The sequence below is a fragment of the Homo sapiens genome, chromosome 18, assembly GCF_000001405.40.
Source record: "Homo sapiens chromosome 18, GRCh38.p14 Primary Assembly".
Lineage (NCBI taxonomy): Eukaryota > Metazoa > Chordata > Mammalia > Primates > Hominidae > Homo > Homo sapiens.
The window spans coordinates 5,542,177-5,564,598 of NC_000018.10; the positions used below are offsets into that span (position 1 = coordinate 5,542,177).

The 22,422-nt window shown below is 42.0% G+C and overlaps 1 protein-coding gene and 1 long non-coding RNA gene across 40 annotated transcripts in view; one reads left to right on the forward strand and one right to left on the reverse strand.

Moving 5' to 3' along the window:
- The window catches only part of EPB41L3 (erythrocyte membrane protein band 4.1 like 3), a 238,278-nt gene that overhangs the window by 149,791 nt on the left and 66,065 nt on the right, over positions 1 to 22,422 (reverse strand). For 21 of the 37 annotated variants that reach the window (XM_047437382.1, NM_001384696.1, NM_001384692.1 and 18 more), the window contains exon 1: positions 1,737 to 1,821. The exons of the other annotated variants lie outside the window; for them this stretch is intronic. The gene's annotated coding sequence lies outside the window, so the exon portion shown is untranslated. Of the gene's footprint in view, positions 1 to 1,736; positions 1,822 to 22,422 lie in introns of those variants that run through there. 37 annotated transcript variants of the gene reach the window in all.
- On the forward strand, positions 653 to 20,982 carry LOC107985145 (uncharacterized). Of its 3 annotated transcripts, none has more exons than XR_007066440.1 (4): positions 653 to 883; positions 2,118 to 2,201; positions 15,920 to 15,960; positions 18,319 to 20,982. It is a non-coding gene; the product is annotated as an uncharacterized LOC107985145 (long non-coding RNA). The 3 variants fall into 3 exon arrangements; XR_001753334.2 differs by lacking the exon at positions 653 to 883 and having other exon boundaries at positions 1,835 to 2,201; positions 18,319 to 18,356; positions 19,139 to 20,982; XR_001753332.2 differs by lacking the exon at positions 653 to 883 and having other exon boundaries at positions 1,835 to 2,201.

Consider the following 22,422-nt stretch of genomic DNA (forward strand, 5'->3'; position numbering starts at 1 on the left):
GAAATCACCTCTCAGTCCCCAGAGTTCACTGGAGCTTGATGTGCTGCTCTCTTTTCTTAATAGGGCTTTTCTGCTTAATTTGCTGTAATTGGGACTACGTCCATGGCTCACAGACATAAGCAGAATTTTATCATTTTTGTTTCCTTGAGACTTTAAAAATCAAGGTAAATTTCAAAAACAATGTTTTTAAGCACTTGGTGTGACGCTTCCTGTACTATAGAAGTTAATGCTACCAAGACAAACTCCAGCACACCTGGCCACCTCAGGCAGCCTAAAATTCTCACTGTGCCCCACTCCCCACCCCCCCTCAACAAAAAGGACAGGCAGGGTATCTGCAAAAGCAATTCCGCGAGACTAATGTAAAAAAGCTGAAACAACTTAAACACGCAATGGAAGCACTGCATTAGCAGGACTGCCCGGCCCTCTCAGGACCTCCCAGCCCAACCTCCACAAGTAATTAACACCACATGTTTCCTTTATCATTCTATTTGTTCTGTTCCGCAACAATCTCTACCAACTTTAACCCTGGGCTGCAACTAACGGAAAAACCCTAGAAAACTTCAGATCCGTAATATAAAAAGAAAATTGAAAAGAATACTCTCATTGCAAGGGACCACAGTTACAATTTACTAGGTAACCACACCCACCGCATTGCAGAAGCCATGAACTTGGCGGGCGTGGGGGGGAAGGGGAAGAAGTCCGGCGAGATTAGAGGGGAAATCCGAAAAAGCAAGCCCCTGCGGCAGCAGCCAGGAAACACTCGCCAGGAACTGGCTGCGACCCCAACTCCAGCGGTCCGAAGCCCTAGCCTCCCCACCCCCACCGCGGCAGAGCCGCCTTCGCAGACACCTCCCGAGGAGAATCGCGGCCCCGAGGGCGCCAGGTGAGTCGCGCCGCCCCGAGCCCCCGGGCCACGGCAGGCCGACCCAGGCGCCCCCGGCCCGCCCGTGCTCCCGCGCCCGGGTGCCAGAGGCGAGGGGCCCCGGCAGGTGCCCAGGCCCAGGGCAACCCCGCTTGGACGCTCCCTCCTCCTCCCCCACCGGCCGGGGGCCGCTGCCCCAGTTTGGGGAACGAGGCAAGTTATATAAAAGCGGCCGGCCCCCCTGCCCAGCGGGGATGCTTTGTGCGGAGCGCACCTTATCGGCCCCGCGCTGCGCCCGCCCGCGCCTGCACCCGGGACGAGCCCGCTGCCGCCGCGCGCTGAGCGCAGGGCCCCTCCCGCGGCCCGCCAGCCGCCACCCGCCCGGGCGGCGCCGCAGTGTCGCCCCCTGTCCCCCGCACCTCCCCGGGGGAGGGGCCGGCCCGCGCTCGCCCCCAGCCCGAGGGGCAACTTAAAACATGGCGCCCCGGGCGGGGGATTTGTGCAAATTGGCGGAGAAGGGACGCGGGGACCGAGTCGCCCCTTCGGCCAGGGATCCCAGGGAGGCCCCCAGGCCGGAGGCCGGGGCTCAGGCTCTGCGCGCCGGCCCAGCCACTACTGCGCCGCGGCGGGCGGAGCGGGCGGGGGGCGCGGCGCGCAGGCTCGGCCCGGTGGGGGTCCCGGCGAGCGGGAGGGCGGTTGGGGACCCCGGCCGCGCCGGGCGCGGGGCTCGGGATTCGGGAGACCGCGCGGCGCCGAAGCCACGCGTCAGCCCCACTGTCCCGCGCGCCTCGCCCCAGGCCTCGGGCTCTTCCTCCGCACCTCGTAAAGCCGAGACCCCCTCGCAGTCCCCCACTCCGAGAGGCGGAAAAGTTACCTGGGATCAGCAGGGAGCCCGGGCGCGCCGCGGCGTGGGGACTAGGCTCGGGCGCGCGTCCTCGGCGGCGGTGCGCAGGAGACTCGGGCGTGGGGAGGAAGCCGCAGCCCAGGGCTGCTCGCCGCTGTTCCCCCCGCCCCCTGTTGCAGGAGACACCGAGGCTCCGCGGAGCTGCGGCGGGGGCCCACGCCCAGAGACCGTGCGAGGAAAGCCAACCTCGTCCTGCCTGCCCTCCCAGCCGCGGGGGAGGGGGCCACCGCAGTACTTCAGGACAGTTACATGGGCACAGCCTCCTCCGTCCTGGCGCAGGGTCAGGCTCCGCGGACGACGCCTGGAGACAGCTGCCAATGCCAATAGCTTTAGCCCTTTATTCCCACTTAGATGATGGCCTGGCCTCTCCAGACCCCTCTCCCCTCCCAGACATCCCCTGTGAGAAAGGAGGGAGAGGGTGTTCCTGACCTTCAGGTGAGTTATTTATTGGCTAGGGACTGCAGTATTTTTTTTTTCTTTTTGGAAAGAAAATAAAATCAAGTTGGTGGTGTCTTCAAGTCATGTTAATAGAGAAGATCTGAATTAATGCTTGATAAGAGAAGTCGCCCATTTTTCAGCAACTCAGCTACTCCGTCCTCTCCAGTATCTATAAAGCTTTCCACCGAAATTTACCTTGATTTTAAAGAGCGGAGGTGGCTCACTGACTTGTAAGTGAAAGAAGTAACTCCTGGTCATCTCACAATATCTTAAGATCTAACCGACTAACCAAGATATTTAAGAAATATTTTTATGGGCACAAAAAGAATAGAGTGAATAAGACATAGCATCTGATAGCACAACAGGGTGACTATAGTCAAAATAATTTGATTGTACATTTTAAAATAAAGTATAATTGAATTGTAACACCAATGATAATGCTTGAAGGATAGATTTCCTGTTTTCCATGATGTGATTATTACACATTGCATGCCTGTATCAAAACATCTCATGTACCCCATAAACATATATACATACTATGTACCCACAAAAATTGAAAATAAAATATTAAATTTTTTTAATTTTTAAAATAAATTGTATGTATATTTAAGGCATACAACATAAGATACATATATAGTAAAATGGTTATTATAGTGGAACACATTAGCATATCTATCAACTCACATAGTTATGCATTTCCCCCAACACCCCTCTACTTGTGGCAAGAGTAGCTATAATATACTCATTTAGCAAAATCCTGAATACAAGACACTTCTTAGCTCTAGTCCTCGTGTTGTACATCAGATCCCTTTCATGTTGTACGTTATTAATTTTTTTAAAATAGAGCCTTCTCCAAATCATCCGGTTGCCCCTCCAGGAGCTCAGGGACTCATTAAAAGAGGGAAAAAAATGGATTCACAAAAATATTGCATTTGCTACTGGGTGCCAAAGACAAGATACAGAACACGTGCCTCTGGGAAAGATTAGTGGGCCTGATCTGTCAGTGAGGCCCGGAGACGTGGGGAGACTTGGCGCAGGTTTCTAGAATAGGGAAGACTTTGGTAGGAAAGGAGGATGGTATTTGATTTCCTTGGCTGGAGTGGAAGGGTTTTTTCATGTTGAAGAGGGAGAAGGTTGGAAAATTATAGTTACTATGTTGCTATGGAGTTTATGGGACTATATTCTATAGATGTGTAGCTTTGGGAAATTTTGAGCAAGAAAGTGTGACTTAAGTAATGTTTTAAGAAAACTAATCTTATGGCTCTGCAAAGACTAGAACAGATGGGCAAATACCAGGTTGGTGTTCGGAGGAGACTATGGTATTAAGACAGTTACCAGAGGTAATGAGGGCCTGAATTGTCTTTCAGGTGACAGATAAAGGTGACAGTTCCAATAGTGGATGTTTGGGAATTAACTGCATTTCCTGTCAGAAAGTGTTGCGTATGAGTATTAGAGACATATATGCACATATCACATACGCACCTGTATGACTCTGTGTGTGTGTGTGTGTGTGTGTGTGTGTGTGTGTGTGTGTGTGTAGCACATAAGGTCTGTGAATGAAGAAAGAATTCATTTTCCTTTTTTGCATGTACACTAAAGCACTCCATTGAAAGTGGACTTGAATAAATTGTATTGTTTACAATAAACACTCATTTGGCATTATCATTCAAGACACAGATGGCTCCATATTTTCATTCATTTTGTTGCAGTATTTTTGCTATTCTTTAAAATTGAAAGCAAACTTTTTCTTATGACTCATGAATCTTAATCTTTGTGGTGATGAAAATCAGCAATAGTGTCTGAATGGCAATTTTCTTGGGAGAAAAATGTTAGACAACTAAGTATTTTTTTAATTAGAAATACCTATCTAAGCCAGGCGCAGTGGCTCATGCCTGTAATCCCAGCACTTTGGGAGGCTGAGGCCGGTGGATCACGAGGTCAGGAGTTCAAGACCAGCCTGGCCAAGATGGTGAAACCCCGTCTCTACTAAAAACACAAAAATTAGCTGGGCATAGTGGTGGGCGCCTGTAATCCCAGCTACTCAGGAGGCTGAGGCAGAGAATTGCTTGAACCTGAGAGGTAGAGGTTGCAGTGAGCCGAGATCTCACCACTGCACTCTAGCCTGGGCAACAGAGAGAGACTCGTCTCAAAAAACTACAACAACAAACAAACAAACAAAACCCTAATTATGGTAATATTCCACGAATTGAAAATTTGGAGTAAAAACCATACTGCTGCATAGTTTGATAGGAAATCTTGGAAGCAATTACTTTGGAATCCTCTGGATTTAACCAAGTCTCTCCTCTATTATTTTTTTCCCCCTAGCACAGACAGGGAGAAAAAGAAACGTCAAATTCATGAGGGGTGCATAGCTGCATAGCTCCCTCAGCAACTTGCCTGCATCTTGATAATAGCGATCTCTTCATTCTTTCTTGTGAATCCCATGCAGGATCCTCTCTTAGTCCTCTCTGTCTCCCCACAGTGCCTCACTGGGCACATTGCAAGCCAAGCACTTCACATTTTTGCTAACTGAATGAATGGACATTGAATAATGAACTAAGCTGTCACTTTTCTTCAGGGATTCGGCTTCCTCATGTATAAAAGGGACTGATTCCAAAATTCTGTATGGTTCAATAATATTAGGGGCCTATAAAACTAAAAGATGTATCACCTCTTACTAAGTAAAAGCAATAATGAAAACCCTACTATTTAGCTCTCATCAGGAAATAATGAGCTCTTCCACACAGAAAGGAGAAGGAACATAAAGTAGAAAGCAAGGTGAAGATACAATTATGATTGAATTTGCTTGCTTTCTTAGAATACTAACTTCTCTCCTTTTCCCTCTCACTACCAAAAATAAAGCCACTATAGCCCCAGAGAATTCTTTATTCTTGTCAATGTAACCCCCCTTGTGGTGCTGTTTCAATAAGTTATAGAAAAGTAGTTCTTGGGTCCAGTAAATGCCGTTTACACAGTCCTAGAATTAGTGCCAATTTGGCATGAGAACTCAGTTCTTCAGATTCTTAATTTACTATGTCCACACAGTACTAAAGAGAGTGTTATGCAAATACTGAAACAATCCATGGAAAGTCAGGAAAGATTCCATGACTCTAGCCTAGGTCTTAGGATGCCCATTCTGATCTCCACTACCTTAACTTGGGCTTTCTCTACGCTAATCTTATTTATGGACTTCCTGAAATTACTCTATATAATTTATATCACTGAAGGTCACCAGCTATCAAGAATTCTAGCCAGAGAAAAGGTGCAGAGAAAAGGGTGCAGCTTACTTCAGGTAAGATATGTGTGTAAATTCATCCCAAGCTGAAGAGATTGGATCCCCCATGAACCTCTATTCCACCACAAATGTCAATAGAGTACTGACTTCTTGAGTGAATGAGTAACTGGTATTCTGCTACCTGAACAGCAATGATAATTCCAACCTGATAGCCAAGACAAGGACAGAATTTGCAGTTGTATTGACAGCCATGTTGTCAGCCTTATGGATGAGACTCCAGAAAGAAATAATAGAGAATCAGTCTGGTTAAACTTATCTGAACTTTGCTCTCAAACATGAAAATTGAAGAAATATTGACGCTTGAGCAAACCCTACAAATGCCACCCTAATAGACATTCACACTCATTTGGCCTCATTTATTCAACCTGATCTGCTGCCTTAGTGAAATGTTGACAACACTGGCAATAACTAGTTGAGGTTTATTTTATGCTCAGAATAATGTCAGGCACCTGAATTGCATATCAAGTTCTTGAAATCAGGATATAAAGTCTTCAGCCACAGCGTTACTGGGGACCATAAATAAGAGAAATACAGGGATGAATGCATAATTCAAAAGCAACAAGCTTATTCTTCTGAAATAAAAATTCATTGAAGAGTTTCTAGGTTCTAAGAATAGCTTTAAGTTTACAGCTCATTAAGGCTTCCAGATGCTCTCTTCATATTGAGTTTGTATACCCCATTTCAGGGGTCTGTCTACATGCAAGGCACAGATGCAAAACGAAATAAAGTATTGATAAGTATAAATGTAGCACAAAATGTATGAAAAGTATACATAAGATGGAGCAAGTTTAGGCATGCTAACACCATTTAAAATCATTCCTATTCATCAGAATTCCATATTTGCCTTTTTTATCTTTGTATTCTTATATAAAGAATAGACTTAAAGGTGGACCCATACATAGTATGTAAGTTTTATTGTATTAAAACATATCCTTATTGATTTTTTTACTTTCTCCATTTCCAGTAAATTTTAGAAATAAGTCTCAGTACTTTTAAACGATAAAATTGTAAGGGTTATTCTAGTGATCAATTCTTCATTAAATGTAAATGCTCAATGATTCTGTTCTTAAGTAAAAATAAAAAATCCACTGAGAATGTTTTCTATTTAGGATTTTAGTATAAATATGGAATGGTAAAATATGAATGCTAGAATATAAAGAATGGAAGTTGTTAATCTGTAATATTAAATTCAGCTCTCAACCACATGATCACTATTGAATTATATGCTAAGACACTTAACATTTTAATCACTTTTCCCCCAAAAGACAAAATAAATGCCAGCAAGCCTGTCCATCCCCTGTAAAGCTGTAAGTAATCCTAATCAGCTATTATGTTTCACCCCAGAAGCTATCAACAAAAATTAACAGAGGAAGAAATAATAGATAGTAAGACACATTCAGAAGTCGGGCTTATTAACTTGTTAATGCTATCTCCTCTTTAGGAAAATGTGTGATGGTTAACTTTATAAACTAATAAACATACAGCAATAACTACTCTAAGGAAAAAGCATTAGCTTTGTTTCTTAATTTAATTCCTGTTTTCCAGCATGTTTTTTTTCCCCTTTCCAACTGTCTCACTGGCTTGCAGATTTCAACAGTGAGGGTACAACCTGAAAATGTCATTCCACTGTAGTCCACAGCTTCCAGAATGCTCTGGGAATCACTGAGAACATCATCTAGAATATCTTTGTCCCTTAAAATAAATTTGTTCAATAGGTCAAAGCCATTTGAAAGAAAGCCTTGGCTACTAACACTTTCCTATGCAAGATGTTTATTAGGGATTTGTCTGATATCCAAGGCTGACTCATTTGTAAATGATACAAATCTGAGGATACCAGAGTTTCTCAAACTGGCTTATTTGTGAACAGTTTTCTAAGTTTTACATTTCTGTGTCAATAAAAATCTTAAAAAGAATAAAACTACCAGATGCACACCATTGATATCAGAATCATTCAAAGTACTTGTGAATGATGCAAATTTTGGGGTCCAGCCTTAACTGAGTCGGAAGCTCTGGGGTGGGGTCCAGGGAGCAGCCATTTTTAACAAGTTCCCCAGGTGATTATAAATCACACCAAATCTTGAGAACCATTGATCTAGGCGACCAGTCCATACCAAAAATCCCACAGGTGACAAAGTGCGTTCAGATAGATGTTTCATAGAAGTTGGAACCGAAAACGGGTGGAAAAACAGCCCACTCAGACATATACGAGAGCTGAACTGAAGATAATCTACACTACACGATTCACAGTTTGCAGGAGTTATTGCTTGGATCCTGTCATTGCATGCATCAGTCTGCAGCAGCAGTTCATTAGCAGTAAGTATAGTAATAAATAACAATAAAGGATTGTCCTGTTCCCAATTCCAGCAATAATTGGATTAGATGCCTATTTATTAAAGATTGCAGTAACACTGCAACTCTGACCTTAATTTCCAAGTTTTTACAAAGTTGCCAAGGGATGTCTCATTAAAATGGGAAATTGAGGACTAATTGCCGGCAGTTTTAGTTAACTTTGAGATCTGACTATCTTAAACCCTGCAAATAGAGAATTTCAATACATTTTGGTATACCATACTTAGGCAAACAAGCATTCCCTGGGCTGCTTAGTAAAACTTAGTGAACCAAATTAAATAAGGAAACTGACCAGAGGCTCCATCCTTCTAAAGCACAACATGAGGAATTTTATTTCAGAAAAACAATATCATTTATCGTTTTAAATTAGTGTGTTGTTAATTTTAGTGTTCAGGCCTTGCATTTCTCCTATCAATTTATTAAGGTTATTTTGGTTTTATACTTGATGAGCCCTATAAACTTAAATCTGGTTTTACATCCATATATGTTTAGAAATATTTTCTTTCATTAAAGGATGAGATTTCAGCTCAATAAAAGAGGACCATCATTCTAATATGGGCCAGGCTGTTTTATAAACAGTGAGTTTCCAGTTAGAATGTTTAAGGAGATACCAGATGACATCTGTTAGTAATGCCCCAGAAGGCTTCTTCTATCAGGAGGGCACTTGGGCAAAATCAGCTATAAATTCCTGTCCAACTGGGAGATGAAATTGTGTTCCAAATGTTTGCCACTCTGGAACCAGGGCTTGCCTACCCTGTTTGAGGTAGCAACTCAAGCACTGACTTCATGAAGGAACACTCATGTACATATGTACATGGTCTTTGAATCCCCAACAACTTCTCAATTATAGGTTGAGATTAATTTGTCACTGGTTCCCTGCTTTTTCTCCATAAATCTCATGACAGTTTCCACCACCTCTTCCCCTCCCACGTCTTCTCAGATCCATCAACTCTAATCTGCTTAGATTTATACAAGTCCTCAACCTCTCTAATCAAACCTTTCTTTACCTCTGAGCCAAGCTTTGGTGAATTAACATAAGTAGCTGGGCATGATATTGCTTTTGGAGTCAAGGTATAAATACTCTGAATGGGAAATCATTAAGTCTATTTTGGAATTTTTCCTGGGTGTCTCAATGCCTATTCCCAAATTATCCCACTGTTTAACAGAATCAAACAGGCGTGCAGTGAGTACATGCCATCCTCCTGAATGCCATTATAGCTTGATGAACAGAGCACCAAGTAATATCTGAAAATCGTTGTATAACCTTCAGCAAATTTCCACTTCTCTTGATGTGATATCAATATTCATTGAAATATTCCCTCCATTTTCTGTTTTACTAGCACAGACGGGTGGTTCTCAACCACAGCTGCACATTAGCAGAATCACGTGGGGGGATTTTTTAAAAAACATCCGCTGAAGGCTGGGCACGGTGGCTCGCTCCTGTAATCCCAGCACTTTGGGAGGCCGAGGCGGGTGGATCACTTGAGCCCAGGAGTTTGAGTCCAGCTTGGGCAATATATTGAGACCCCAACAAAAAATTTTACAATTAGCCTGGCGTAGTGGAGCATGCCTGTGGTCCCAGGTACTCAGGAGGCTAAGGTGGGAGGATCACTTGAGCCTGGGAGATTGAGGCTGCAGTGAGTTGTGATAGTGCCACTGTACTCCAGCCTGGGCAACAGAGCAAGACCCTATCTCAACAAAACAAAATTTTTAAGGCACTGAAGTGAATTATCACAGCTGGGTGATAGGTACATGTGGACTTATACAATTCTCTCTGTTTCGTGTACATTTGAAAGGTTTCATAATTGAAAGTTTATATTTAAAAAATTTTAAATATTGATGCTTAAGCTGTATCCCAAACCAATTAGATAAGAACCTCTGGAGAGTGGGACCCAGGCAGCAGTATCTTTCAGCATTCCCCAAGTGACTTTTAGGAGTAAATGGAGTTGAGAAACAGGTAAAAGAAGACTAAAGCACATACTTAAATTGAATGTTAAGAATTCCTCAAAAGAGAGAGGCTATAAAAATAAACATTGATAACAAGCACTTATTTATATCTTTAAAAAATTACCTGAAGTCCTTGTAGAAGCCACTGGATGACATGTGCATGTGCCCATTCTCTACGAAGTGAGTCAATTTTGAACAGGCTGGGTTTGCTTGGCAGTGCCTGCCATCAGATTTGTTGATTCTCACAACCTAGGGGAAACCTATTACTGTAGCTGGCTACCCAGTTCATAGTAATGTGTCAATAAAATGCTGGCATATTTCACAACAGGCATAAAGAACTCATCACACGTTAAATATCGTGACTAGAATTTCAACAACTCTTCAAACACCCAAAAGAAAAAAATATCATTTGTGGTTTTATTCCAAGTTTCTGTGTAATGTGTAGAAGTTACACACGCGTACTTGTGGTTATCTCAGATGATGAATAATAGAAGGTTCCAGCAGGTACTTTTTGATGAAACAGATAAAAATATTTGAAAAATTAGAGGAGCCAGTAGGAAATTGTGTCTAAGTGACTATAACCTGACGTTTTATGAATTGGATCTAGCGATTTTCCCCAGGTGTGTTCAGGCATTGGGATACTGGTACATCACGATGCCTGGCCCAGGGATCTGTTTTCACTAAGAGCTAAAATTTACTGAGCATTTATCTTGTATGAGGAACTGTTTTACAAGCTATTGTTCCAGTTAAATAACTTTCACCATCACCAGAACCCTCCAAGGTAGAATCTATTATTACCCTTATTTTCAAAAGAGGTCAATGAGGCAGAAGCTGTTTCAATAAGGTGCCCGACGTTACACAGGTTTTACTATCAGAGCCAGGACACAAGCTCGGGTAGTCTGACTTCTGAGCTAGTCCTCTAAAGCCTCTAAGTAGACAGTCAAATAAATACATACACACAGATATTCAGTTAAATCATATGAAATTGCCAATATTCAACAGTTTTGACTTTCAGAGCAGTAACTTTAGAGTACAATAATATACTCCAATGAGAACACATTGCATTGGCTACAAAGAAGAGAAACAGAGTTAAGAAAAGACTATTTCTACTACTATGGACACATTAAAGAACAGAAAAAGTCTTCCAAAAAGTCACTAATTTAGAAAGAATATGCAGGTTGTTTATAGTCTAAGAAGCTACTAAAAGACTGTAAGGCAACCGCTAATAAAATTATAATTATTATTGTTAACTTGTATTTACCTCTGCTGTGTGCCACACAGTGTTTTAAGGGGTTTCTGTGCACATTATCTCTTTGTTCCTCACAATTCTATGAGGTAGGAACTATAATTATCCATATTTTACAAGTGATTAAAAAAACTGAGGCAAATGAGAGGTTGAGTAGCTTGTCTCAGGCCTCATATTTGGTGAGTAGTAGAACCAGGCAATTTTATTGTAGAGTCCATGCTCTTAACCATGATGCTAAACTGCCCCTACACAATTACATAAGGTTCCCTTGGAATTTCCTCTACAGAAAAGGGAAATTAATTTCAAAAAGCTGTGCCCAAAATGGGGTCATTGTATAAACATGTATCCATTTGACCAAGAAGAGCAGTCTACAAGTTAAGAGTTTGAGAAAAAGGGCAAAGGCGAATGCTCTCATCCATCAGTAGATCCCGCTGGCTCTACCTTCAGGACATACCCAGAATCAGCCACTTCTCACTGCACCTGCCTCTGGCACCCTGGTGCAAACCATCACCATCTCCTGTCTGGGTTCCTGCAACACCTCAGCACATCTGTCTCTGCTGCCACCCTGAGACCCCTATAGTGATTCTCCAAACAGAAGATACTGTCAGCCTGGTAAAACATAAGCCAGATCACGTCACTCTTGTTCAAAGCCTCTGGGGGCCGTGTTATCTGCCCTCACCCCAACCAGCCCCACCGTTCTGAACATATCTGCCAGCCACACTCCCCGTCCCACTCCAGGCACTCTGTGCTTGCTGTTCCTCACACAACCAGGTGCACTCTCACCGTCAGCTTTGGAATCAGCTCTTCTCTAGGAAATACTAATGCTCTTGCCTACTTCAAGTCTTTGCTCCCGTCGCCTCTCAGAGAGGCCTGCCCTGCACACCTTAAATATACACAGTAAAAGCAAAACTGTGACGGGGCTACCCCAGCACCTATTCTCTTATCCCACTCTCCTTTTTTCCCATGACCTAACATGGCATATCATTTCCTTATTTATCATGTTTATTGTCTGTCTTCTGTCATTCCAGACATAAGTCCCACAAAAACAGGGGTCCAGCCACCTGGAACAGTGCCTGGCATGGAGAAGGCATTCAATCTATGTGTGTTGAATGAAAGAATTTTAAAAAGCTCAGAGATTATAAAATATGGGACTCTTTTGGAAGGATTATCAGAAGGATACAAGTATAAAATTGAAGAATTAGCTTGCCCAGGATTGGGATTAGACACAGGAAGGAGATTTGGAAGGAAGAAACTAAATCTAAGGGAATGGTGGATATATGATAAAAATGTGACATAGTTATATGCAACATACACTGGTTCCCTCCAACCATGGAACTAATTTAGGCAGCAACTCCCAATCACCCTAAGGAAAACCCCATTCCTTACTCCTGAGCCAACCCTGGTGACACCAGTAGGGCTCCTCTTCCACCACACACCCAGAGATGAGAGGGAAGAATGGTAAAGCCACCCCTCCCCAAATGCCACTGGGCCATTGTTAACACCAGGGGCAATTTAATAAGCATTTATATTCTGAGGACAAAAGAAAATGTGACAGGATTCAAGCAGGGCCCTCTTTGCTCATGTGTACAAACAATGGCAGTGACCACTGCAGTGCAAAATGTCAGAGCATCTGAAGCAGAAGTGTCCAGGCTAACATTATTTCTCATATCAATGGTTGCCATGGTGATATTTATAAAGATTTAGCCACCATCAAGCAGTGAATACTTTTACGGGGCTGTTGGAAGAGAAGACGTCGCAATCCACCCTTCGTCCTCACAAATCACTGTCATCCCACTTGCTCCCATGACATGGCTCACTTCTTTTGATTGCGCTTCACATGCCCACTAAAGATGAGTGTTAGATTCTGTCATTTCAGGCTTGAAGCCTGTGCTGTGTTTTTCCATTTGGTCTGCATTAAGCTTTCTTCAGTGATCCATAGTGCCCTTTCAAACATCGCCAGGTCATTCCTTCATCGATCTCCTTATCCCCAACCTCTGCCTCCACCAGGGCACCCAAGTTCCAGGACCTCCCATCCCCTAGTCACTCTCTGGAGAGGGCATTCATGTGTGTTGACCATTGCCAAATTTATGCAACCTCCATACTTCAAGAAAACATAAGGAGACAGTGAGTTGGTAGAGGTGTATCTTAACCAATCCCCCTGTACTGACCCACTAGATTGTAAGCTCTGTGAGGGCAGTGGGTCTCTTTTACTCACATTTGTATTTTTCAGAATAAGTAGCATGGCACGTTAGCCCTAAAAGGAGCTGAAAAATGTCCTAGCACAAGGTAGTAGAGAGCTTAGTGAATGAAACCACAAATCCCCAGTCATGCAAATTAGAAACCCAGGCATCTCCTGGACACCTTACTCTCTCTCCCAAACCCTCTTGTCAGATCTATTACCAAGCCCTTTGTACTTCACCTTAAATAATCTCTGGGCTCTGTCCACATCTCCCCAACTCCACACCAACATCCTATCCTGAAATAGTCTCTTCTCAGGTTTCTAATCCAGCTTCCCGGGACATGAGTGAGCACTCAGAGATACAAAGGTGATGCTCTCACCCCTGCCTAGAACTTTCCAATCCCATTGTTCTCAGGTGAAGACAACACTCTCAAATGCAGCCTCGATGCTGTAAGTGTTCCCTTCCTCCACTCCCGTCGGCCCAGCCATCTTTCCATTCCTCTTTTTCAGCTTCCTTAACTAGATCACACATCCTCAGCAAGGGTTCTGGTAGCATCAGTCCCTCTGCTTCAAACATTGCACCTATGCGTTTGTGTGTGTGGCGATTCCATGAACCATTGTCTCCCTTCACTAGATGCAAGTCCCAATAGGGAACTTGGGTTGCTTCTACTCACCACTGTGTCCCCAACCTGCACACTGCCTGGCATGTAAGAGACGCTCAGTGAATATTTGCAATAAATAAATGTTGATGGACTGTCATTATTGGAATCAGGACAGTACATAATGGTTAGGTTTCAGCCTCCACAGTTGGTAGCCAGGGGCTCACTACTTCTGCTAGATACAAAGGAAAAAGCAAACAAAAAGACAGAAAATCAACAAGGCTTTTCAGATCTTGGACATTTAAGTGAAGCTTGCAATGGACACTCAAATATTTATCAATATCCTTTGCAAACATGGATTGAGCAGCTACTCTGGGTAGGGGACTAGCCAGAGCTGCTGACGACACTTTATCTTCCAGGAACCAAAACCTTAATTTTCCCTAGCGGTGCTGCTGGAGTAGGAACATTTGGTGTTGAAATGCTGCCACAAGAGGCGGGAGAATGACTCAACTATTCTTCAATTCAGAGGATCAGACTCTAAACTTTGATACTGATTCACATTTGCTCCCTGGATGCCAGTGATTAATCTCATTAGGAAAGTTAGAGGGCAGAAAAATAAGCGACATTTGTACAGCGATCTGTGATGGACTGAGGGAAACCCCAAGAGACAATGAGTTTTTCTGTCTGTCCATGGACCATTGTGGGGAACAGAGCAGGAAACATGGAGTCCACAGACCTGCCCTCTGCCCCGCTCCTCCCTCCCAGCTCTCTGACCTTGGCTTGGATTGCATTGCCTCATCTGCTCTCTCATTTATAAACTGAGTGACTAAACCTGCTTCAAGGATCATTGAGAGGATTAAATGAAATAATTCATGAAAAAAGCACTCAGTAAGCTCTCAATGCCATATAATGGTGTGTCACGGTGATGACGGGGGCTCACAATAATACCACATGGCCACTCTCTCTCTGCCAGCACAGCTGGGGGGCCCCGGGGGTCTCCCTCCTTCCTCTCACCTCTGTGGACACATAGCTGCAAAAGCTGAGCAGGAAGGCCCTTGGAGAACCAGCCCATTTGATAAAGTAAAGGAGGTGGCTCTCGACTGCTGGGAGGTGTGCTGAGCTTATAGATCCATTTCCTAGAAATGCTGGGACGAAGCAGCCAGGAATTCTGATTAGTCTGCTGGGTCTGCAGACTTGATAATATTGCCTGATGGAAAGGGCTAAGTGCAGGAAATGGCATCTGCTCTGAGGTAACAGGCCTCAGATATTTAAAAAAGCATATAAAAATAGATATCGACATGTGGGCTTTTCCTAACATGTTTTTTTCCTGTCTTGTAGCACACACAATTCAAAAAAGTTTAAAAATGGCTCAAAACACTTGTTTTTTTGTTTTGTTTTTGTTTTTTGAGACAGGGTCTCACTCTCTTGCCCAGACTGGAGTGCAGTGGCACAATCTCGGCCCACCCCAACCCTCCGCCTCCCAGGCTCAAGCAATTCTCCCACCTCAGCCTCCCGAGTAGCTGGAATTACAGGCGTGTGCCACTACCACATGGCTAATTTTTGTATTTTTAGTAGAGATGGGGTTTCGCCAGGTTGGCCAGGCTGGTCTTGAACTCTGACCTCAAATGATCCACCCCTGTCGGCCTCCCAAAGTGCTGGGATTACAGGTGTGAGCTACTGTGCCCAGGCACTCAAAACATTTTTATAGCATTTACTTGAGAAGTTCTCTCAAGAATACAGGCCTCATTTGGAATCACTTAAAAAATTGCAAATACTCATGATATTGGAGATGGATTGGTTTTTGGAAGGAGCCAAAATGATTTTGCACTGGGCTAATAAATAAGGGGGTCAATGGGGTCAGATCCACTGAGCACCAAAATAAACAAAACAAAACCCTGAGTTTTAACTATAAACAAACTCAACTAAATTCTTTAGAATAGTTTAATGTACTAGTTTGGAAGGGACTTCAAAAAGTAGTTCCAACAAGATTTTGAACAACAGAATCATCTTCATTCACAATAGCAACTAATTTATTGAGCACTTAGTATGTGCCAGGCACTTTGCAAGTATTTGACATACATTCTGTCACTTACGTTTCAGGAAACCTGCCAATCTCTTATACCCATCTTACAGAAGATAAGGTAAGTGACTTCTCTGAGGTCACAACCAGGTAAATGATAGAACTGAGCTTATCTGCATGGATTTTTACTTGCCAGAAGACAACATTCCTTTGAATGAATGCACTCTGATACATTTGTTTAAAAAAATCATCATTTAATGGTTGAGTTTCTTTTCATCAATGCAGAAACAGAACACTCTGACAGATATGAGGACTTATTGGAGTCTGGACCCAAACCACTAAGATCAGGGATTTGCAAATGTATCCCAATTCCCAGAGGAACAATTATGAGACCCTTTTAAATGGGAAGCAGAAATGAGCCTAACAAACACTTGGAAATGGGTGACAGATAGGGACATTGGTATCCAGACACCATTATACTTTTGTGGAGAGTGTACGCCTATAGTATGCAGAATGATGATATATTTATTTAGGTATGTAGAAGGTGCATGGTCTGGGTGTTAAGAGATGAGCCTGGTCAGTCAGAGTTGAGTTTAAACCAGGATCTGGAGGTTGCTGGCTGTGAAGTAAGTTTCTTAACCTTCAAGGCCTCAGTGTCTTCACTGCAAAATGGAAATGACTACATTACCCACTTCATGGGGTTCTTTCAGCATCAAATATATTAAGCTCCTCCAATTGTGCCTAACACATAGTAGGCACATACCAGTTAGCTACTATTATTAATACTTAAGTAAAAATACATTACTTTAATTTTCCTAAGAGTCATTCTCTAGACGAGGACATAACAGGACAAACATTCATATTCTACAAGTGTACTTAGTCTTTAACAGCAGTGTTGTAATTCAATTAGACTACATCAAGTATGAGTTTTTTGAATATTATGAGTATTTTCCTTGCCAACATTACATAGTGTCTGGAATTAATTAAGTGATTGGTGCTAAAGTGAAGTGTCCAGGACCATTTCTGTATAAGATCTCAAAAAAAGAATAATTTGGCATGTGCTCCTTATAAAGATGAATAAACAATTTTTTTTTCTGGAGAGGACATTTTGATCTTCAAAATATTTGGCTACAGTTTTACTTTTATACAGTTGAACAGTTACACCAAAGTTGCAGACTAAGAACACAGATGATAAAGGTTTCGACAATGAAATGTTCTTATATCATTAAGTCTTGACTTATTAAAAGCCCTCTTTACAAATAAATGGAGGAGGGAAATTTCTCAGATTTCTTAACTTGGAACACAGACTTTTTGCAAAGGCAAAAAGACAAAGGGAGAAGTCCTTACTTCTCCACCCGCCTTGCAAGGACAGAGAAATCTTACACTGGAGCTGTGAACACCCAGCTAACTCAATAGCCACTAGAGATAGGATGCTAAAGGCAGAGCGTCATAGCAGCAATACAAAAAATGGCAATTTTTTGTAATGGAAACACTATAGTTTGTCCATACTTTAAGCATGTCATGGATTAATTAGGCTCTTATCCAATCACCTTGGACACCAAGAAGTGAAACAGTCTTTCTAAACGAAAATATCTTCTGAGTTCCGAATAATCATTCCACAAATAAACTTATGGATGTTTTTTATAAACTCATGATTATTTGATGTAATTTGAAACCCTCTTGCAGTTCATATCAATCATACAACATTTACTGGGTTACCTCCTTAGAAAAAAATCCTACGAAAGCTAAACAAAATTATGGATGGTTTAATTACTATCTCAGATTCTCAGTACATAATCCAAATAAAATCTTTTTCATCTACCACATAATTGACAGTTTTCCTAGTAGGACTAGAAAAAAGTTGTTATTACCATACCTATACTATGACCTTGGTTACTACATTTAAAATTTTTGCCTTTATGCACTCTGTAGAATGAGCATGTTATTTAGCCTTCCTTTATATGATTTTTCTTTTCATTGTATTTTGATCTTTGGCTCAGTTACTATGACACCATCCAGATGTGAAAATATGCCTCTATTGACCTTACACAATACGACCATTCCCAATATGATTTTGTTTTCCTACAAGTCCTCTCAAAATTCGTTTGCTGGATTAGGTTTTTCTGCAACTATGACTTACAAAAATGCTGAAAGTAATCTAAGGTGTTTGTATAAAAGGATGATATAAAAATGGAAATAGCACAAGAGCTGATTAAAGCTAAACCTAAAATTAGATGGGTTCCTTTGATTAATGGCATAGCAACAGCCTGATGAGTGATGGGTGAAGAACAGCCATAATTGACACTAATCTAGATTCAGCAACTTTAAGAGTGAAGAACTCTCATCCCTACCATAAAGTTTTTTTTTAAGAACAAGCTTCCTCAGAGATACATAAAGTCTAAACTATTTTGGCAGTACAATCAGCTTGATAAGAGCAACTTTTTAATTTTAACTTTTTCAAACTTAATTCACTTTGCAGGAAGAGACAACTGGTTATGAACTAAGTCAAAGCCTCAGGTAAAGTACAAGTTCTTCTAGATAGGGGAATTGAGCATGCAGATCCTAAAATTCCTAGAGAACACCGCAGGATGCCTGCTGCACCATTTGCCGCACCGTTCTGAAAACCGACATTTGTTCAGGTACATTGATCAGGAAAGGGAACATTTGCACATTTATTGAGAGGAAATTAAATGGCAAGTATTGTTATGTGACTGGAATGTAACATTCCATACTCTACCTGGTAACTTCCAAGGCTTTATTTTGGGGGGTGGGGAGAACGAAGGACTTACTACCCTCTGTGGCTTCCTTATGGTCACATGAGGCAAATCCTTTATGAGAAGCACCAGGCTTCTAAAAGACTAGTGATCGGCTGCATGACATGTCCAATGAGAAATTTTAATTTTCTCATATGATTCATAGTTGTAATTATTTATTTATTTATTTATTTATTTATTTATTTATTTATTTATTTATTTATTTTGAGATGGAGTCTCGCTCTGTCGCCCAGGCTGGAGTGCAGTGGCGCGATCGCGGCTCACTGCAAGCTCCGCCTCCCAGGTTCACGCCATTCTCCTGCCTCAGCCTCCCGAGTAGCTGGGACTACAGGCGCCCGCCACTACGCCCGGCTAATGTCTTGTATTTTCAGTAGAGACGGGGTTTCACCGTATTAGCCAGGATGGTCAAGATCTCCTGACCTCGTGATCCGCCCGCCTCGGCCTCCCAAAGTGCTGGGATTATAGGCGTGAGCCACCGCGCCTGGCCAGTTGTAATTAATTTTTTAAATTTGCTTCATTTCTCAGCCTGGAGCATCCTTTTGGTGCCAGAAAGTAAAGAAATGCTTTAAAAAGGGGACAGGGGGATATAGAAAGGACACAGGAGACAGCCTGAAAGAGCTCCTAATGGCCAAGATTGAAGAATTTGAACAAAAATATGAAATGAAGGTATTGGATTATAACACAAGGAATCTAGTAAATACCCATGAGTCCATACTCCTAAAAATAAATGAACCAAAAAATAAAAGGAGGAAAAGAAACAACTCTTCCTTATAGACTAATTCCAATTAATAGTTGTAGTATGAATGAAGAAAATAGAAAAATCACCATTAGAAAACCACAGTAATAATTGCTACAGAGAAGATCCACTGATGAATGCTAACGTTAGTGGTTGGAAATTTAAGCTGCATAGTTTCAAAGTTTCTCCCCGCAAATACTTATTATCGCAAAGGGAAACATGTTAACAGTACAGTAGAGAAAGCCAGTAGACGCCACCTTAACCAAGTGATCAACACTAACATCATCAGTAACAAGACACATAGATATCATGTGCCCCCGATATGACAGAGGGCACGTTACCACTGTAGATTCTTTCCCAAGATGCATACCCTCAATCTAACCATGGGGAAACATGAGACAAATCCAAATTAAGGGACATTCTACGAAATGATGAGATACTCTTCAAAAGTGTCAAAGTCATGAAAGACAGGTGAAAACTGAAGAACCGCCATGGATGGGAGACCAAGGAGATCCTAATGAGTCAACTAGTATGCAAAGTGGAATCCCAGATTGGGTCCTGGAACAGAAAAAGGACATCAGTGGAAAAATTGCGAGATCTGAACAAAGTCTGCATTTTGTTAATAGTGTGTTACCAATGTTGGTTTCATAGTTTTGGCCATTGTGCTGTGTATTTATAAGATGCTAACATTAGGGATAGCTGAATGTGGTATATATAGGAACTCTGTGCTGAGTTTATAACTCCTCTGTATGTCTAAAACTATTTCAAAATAAAAAGTTTAAAGGTAAAAAAAAAGATTAAAAAATATAACTTGCTTTGTTGCTCTGTGTCCACATTGAGTGGTAACTTGTAGGATGGTCAGGAGTTAAACAATGAGAGTAGGGATCGTAAGTAGCTTAGAAAAGAGAAGCATTAGTCATATGACTTGGTTCCATTTCTCCCTCAACCAATTATGAGCTGTGTGACCTAGAACAAGTTAAAGTTACTTTTCTGTAAGTTTTTTGATATTTATAAAGGGGATGGGTCAGGGTACCAACCTCGTAAAGCTAGAAATGAAGGTTAAACAAAATCAGCTATCTAAAGAATGTAATAGTGCCTGGCGCATTGTCAGAACCCAATCAATGTTAACCATGGTGGTGGTGATGATATGGAAGTATTGACAATGATGACAGTGAACATGAACAGCCTGTATGTGACAGCCACTAGCTCAGACCCTCTCTCTCCACGAAGCCCCTGAGGATGTCTCATCCCCCCACACTGCTGCAGATCCCATCAGAGCCCTCTGATACTTTCTCTGTATTCCCATCCAGCCTTCTTCGGATGTTTATTGAGCACTTACTGCGTGACTTAGTAATGTACAGTATTAAGTAGCAGTAACACAGAGATGAAATAAAAGTGTGGGTCTCTGCTTTGGAGGGAGAAATGGACATGTTTCTTGTCTAGTGGGACAACTGCTACATGAACCAATCCTTTCTTTTAATGCAGGGAATGCTTTGCTGGAAATAAGCTCAGGTAGTATGGGAGCACCTAACCTAGCCTGAGCTGAGTCTTACCAGACGGATGGGCAGAGGATGAGGGGAAGGGATTCCAGACAGAAGGATCAAATGGATTAGAAAAGCCACAGGATCCTTGAAATAGTCATTAGTATGGGGAATATGTAAGAAGAGAGGACGGGAACATTTTGAAGAGAAGCAGGTAAGGCCCAAGTGATTGACAATTATGCACATTGAGATAAGTCCTTGAGTTTTACCCTGTGGGCAATGGATTGTAGTCAGGGGAGCAACACAGTTCTATTTGTATTTTGGAGCTACCACTTTGACAGCATTCTGGAGAAAAGACTGGAGAAATGTAAGACTGGTTAGTGGCAGGAAGACCAAGTAGGAGAGTCTTGCCATTCTTTAAGCAAGAAATAATAATATTAATAGTAACAAAGAAGTTATTATCATTATTATATGAATAAATTATTCTTAGGGCAATAATAGTAGAGGTGGGAAAAAGCAAGATGGATTGAGGAATATGCAGGAGGAAAAAACTGACAGGACTTGACGTCCCATTACTTGACACATAGCCTCCACTCAATGCACTAGTGCTGACTGCACCAACAGTCTGACTAGGAAAGGAGGAGTCTGCCCTGAATCCTGCTTTCTAGCTTAGGTAACTGCTGGTAATGGCACCCAACTGGGGGTGGTGCCATTTTTTGATAAAGGAGAAGGGATTGGGGAGAAATATGTTGTTGGAAAGACTGAAAGAGTACAAGATAAATGATAAATTCTGTTGTGTACAGCTTAAGGCTGAGTTGCTCATGAGGCATCTAATTCATATTTCTAACAATCCGTAAAATATTTGCCTGCAGCTCAGGAGAGGTTGAGACTAGGGAGAAGTTAAGACTCATCCCAAAGCAGTATGGTGAAAAAGAACAACTTGGGTCAAAGATGAAGCCCTAGGAAACACCAACAGGTAAAGGTTGAACAAGCGCTGTCTTGAGGAAGACCAACAAGGAAGTATCGAAAAGAGAGACAGCAGATCTAACTAAGTCTTGTACAAAAAGAAGGGCTCAGAAGAGTCCACTAGATTTAGAATGTAGTCACAAGCGGCCTCACCAGGGCGATTTCAGTTGAGTTTTGGGGATAAATATTAATAATTCTGTGTATCAAGGAGTGAAAGATTTAAAGAAATGGAGATATTTAAATATAAATGACTATAGATACTACTACTAATAATAATAATTGCTATGTTTTACTGATGTCTTACAGGTAAAGATAGGGCTTTGTATGTTTTGCAGGTATTATTTCATTTAATTCCCTCAATAACTCTATTATCTCTGCCATGTTAGAGACGAGGAAATAGGAAAGGGAAGGAGAAAGATAGGATGCTAGCAAGAAATTAATCAAGGAAAAGGGGTTTTTGTGTTTGCTTTGTTTCTGAAGGATAAGACAGACTTGAGCATAATCATAACTACAGGGAAAGGAATCACAGAGATGGAAAGGTTGGGATTATGGAGCCGATGGTGGGTCACAGGGCAGATTTCTGGAGGAGAGGGGATCAAGGCACAGGCGGAGGTAATGCCCTTGAA